The 2,906-nt window shown below is 50.6% G+C and overlaps 1 annotated feature.

Moving 5' to 3' along the window:
- Positions 676-1,422: an enhancer, noted in NCBI's record as "H3K4me1 hESC enhancer chr8:25935631-25936377 (GRCh37/hg19 assembly coordinates)". NCBI's record gives its function as "activates a minimal SCP1, AML or CMV promoter by ChIP-STARR-seq in naive and primed H9 embryonic stem cells {active_cell/tissue: H9 hESC(naive and primed)}" and the evidence as "EXISTENCE:reporter gene assay evidence [ECO:0000049][PMID:30033119]".

Below are 2,906 nucleotides of genomic sequence, written 5' to 3'. Positions count from 1 at the left end.
TAAGTAGGAAGACACCAAGGTCCCCCCATAGATGGCTCTCCCATTGACTCCTTTATGTGCTCATCCATAAGCCTGTGAATCTGGGGCCTGTCTATTCCTGGGAACCTCCAGAACTGGCAGGGGCCAGCTGCATTTGGCAAAGGCGCGTGCCTCTGGCAGCAGAAATTCACAAGCTCAGCGGCGCTCACCCAGGGCCGGGCTCCCTCCCAGGATGCCCCGTTACCGGCACACGCTTGCAGCCTTGCCAGTTGTCAGTCTCCCCGGGAGGGCCAGGCATAAACACAGGCTTTGGCTGAGGGGACCTGCTTTCTGAGCTGAGGTTTGTGGCCTTTGGTTTTTGTGTTTTCCCAGTTTGCGTGTCTGTAGTCTTAGCTTGGCCTTCTTCTTTCATTTCCTTTCCACAAGTAAGTACAAGCCTCTCCTGTGTGTCCAGCCACATACAAAGTGCTGGGAACTGGCAGAGAGGAGCCTAGAGTGGGCAGTGCAGCATCCCTCACCCCTCCCTCTCGGGGCAAGCGATTCAGCTGGGGAGACCTGTGTGTTCTGGTATCAGTTGGAAGAAAATCAAGATATGGATAATCCAGTTTCTTACTTGTTCTGCCTTTGGACTCTGGCTTATGGTTCCAGAAGCTCCCTGAAGCTGTTTTTTTTTTTAAATTTTATTTTTAGAGAGATGTTCTTGCTGTGTTGCCCAGGCTGGAGTGTAGTGGCACAATCATGATTCACTGCAGCCTCAAACTTGAGCTCCAGCCATCCTCCTGTTTCGCCTCCTGAGTAGCTGGGATTACAGGTGTAGGCCATTACACCTGGCTAATTTTTAAAATTTTTTGTAGAGAAAGGCTCTCACTATGTTGCCTAGGCTGGTCTTAAACTCCTGGCCTCAAGTGATCCTCCTACCCAGGCCTCCCAAAGTGCTGAAATTACACACATGAGCCACCAGCCCTGGCCAAACTACTGAAGTTTTTGATAAGCCACAACCTAGCTACATTTGAGCAGTTGATCTACTACCCTCACTCCAAAGTAGCTCTATTTGTCTTTTGTAGTTTTGCATTGTTGCATTGAGACATTCTCCAGAGCAAAAGGAAAGTAGGGGCTGGTGGCAGGAGGCGGGACAGAGCAGGGGGCAGGGTGTCACACAGCAGTGAAGACAGTGGGGGCTGTGACAGGAGGTGGGACAGGGCAGGGGGCAGGGTGTCACACAGCAGTGAAGACAGTGGGGGCTGTGACAGGAGGTGGGACAGGGCAGGGGGCAGGGTGTCACACAGCAGCAAAGGTGCTGGATGCTGCCCCCATGCCCATCTCTGGTTTCCTGAAGTCCAAGTTCCAGGATCATTAAGAGTGGCCTCCCCAGACCCCTGCATCGCACACCCTCCTTGTCCCTTGGCCCAACAGACAGGCTGGGGCTAATTACCTCTGCCCCACACATGCTGCATGACCTTGAGGGAAGCATTTGACCTCTCTGGGGCTCTTCCCCTCTCTGTAAAACAGGGTTAATAGCATTGACCCATCTCAGAGAGTTAGCACAGGAGGCATCACTAATAAAACTTGTCATAAAAGCCTTTGTTCCCTCAAGTCTCAGCAGTTCGGCAAAGAGCCTGGAGGCTTGAACAACAGCCCAGAGGAGAGGGGGCTGCTTGGAGAGCAGAGGTTCACTCGGAGCCACAGAGCAGGGAACGAAGTCCTCCACAGCCACACAGCCTGCACCGAGCGCTCCTCCCTTAGGGCTGCACAGAGAGGGACAGGGTGGCTCGGGCCTCTGACGGTGGCCATGCCAATGACCCACACTCAGTACATCTGCAGCATTCACAGGGGAGGTGATATGAGCTTCTCACACTTGCTGTCTGTCAAGTCCAAGAGTCTGTCCAACAACATTCAGTTGGAAGTTAAATGCATGAAAGAAAGGCCAAACTTGGCCGGGAGTTTGTTTTTGTAGGGAGCAATGGTCAGAGAGTACTGAGCTCTGCAGTGAGCGACTGAGCTGACCACAGCTCCCTATGGAAGGCTGGCCTGCACCAGAATTGTGTGTGTGTGCGTGCGTGCAAGTGTGTACATACGTATGCATGTTCATGTATGTGTGTAGGTGTTTTGTGTACTTGTCTGCATGTGGTTTGTATGTATGTGTGTGTGTAAGCATGTGTGTATGCATGTGTATGCATGTATGTATAAGTGTGTGTGTGCAAGGGGATGGCTAGAGGGTACATACATATCCGCATGCCTTATCTCAGGCCTTCGCAGGGTTGTGTCCAGGTCAGTAAAAGCTCCCACAACTCTCGCCCAGCAAACGTTGCTGACTCTGAGATGTGGGCAGTGGATATAGGGGTGTGTGTGCTGGGGTGGTGTGGAGAGAGGCTGCCACTGGTGGGTCAGAGCCCTGCGGTCCCTTCCCCGGAAAGCTGCTGGACAAGCCATTCCATGCTCATAAGCCAAAAATTGTCTATGCTGGTCATCTTTTGATGCTTAAGATTTTAGACATGCCACAAATGTGCCAGAACATGTCTTAGTTTGTGTTTTATATTAATGAAAGCTAGGAAAATCTTTCAAGTTGCATCTTATCAAGAAAGTTTTTCAAAATATGTATTTCAAAGTAGCCCTTTGAATCTTTTCTCACATTTCCAGCTAACACACATGTCGTCTTCCTTGCTACTTTTTCTAGTATTATTAATTGAAATTCACTGGATGAAGCCCAGGACTAAAAGTTGGCAGGCTTCGGAATGCGGTCCCTGAGCCAGACAGTTGTGTTTGAATCTAACAGAGTGCGTACATATCTGCATGCCTTATCTCAGGCTTTCACAGGGTTGTGTCCAAGTCAGTAAAAGCTCCCATGACGCGTGCCCAGCAAACGTTGCTGACTCTGTTTGGCCATGGGGAGGTTACTTGGCCATTCTAAGTCTTCATTTTCTCATCTG

The sequence above is a fragment of the Homo sapiens genome, chromosome 8 (assembly GCF_000001405.40).
Source record: "Homo sapiens chromosome 8, GRCh38.p14 Primary Assembly".
NCBI classification, from domain to species: domain Eukaryota; kingdom Metazoa; phylum Chordata; class Mammalia; order Primates; family Hominidae; genus Homo; species Homo sapiens.
Note: the sequence above shows the minus strand (reverse complement) of the source record. Positions and strands in the feature narration are given on the sequence as shown.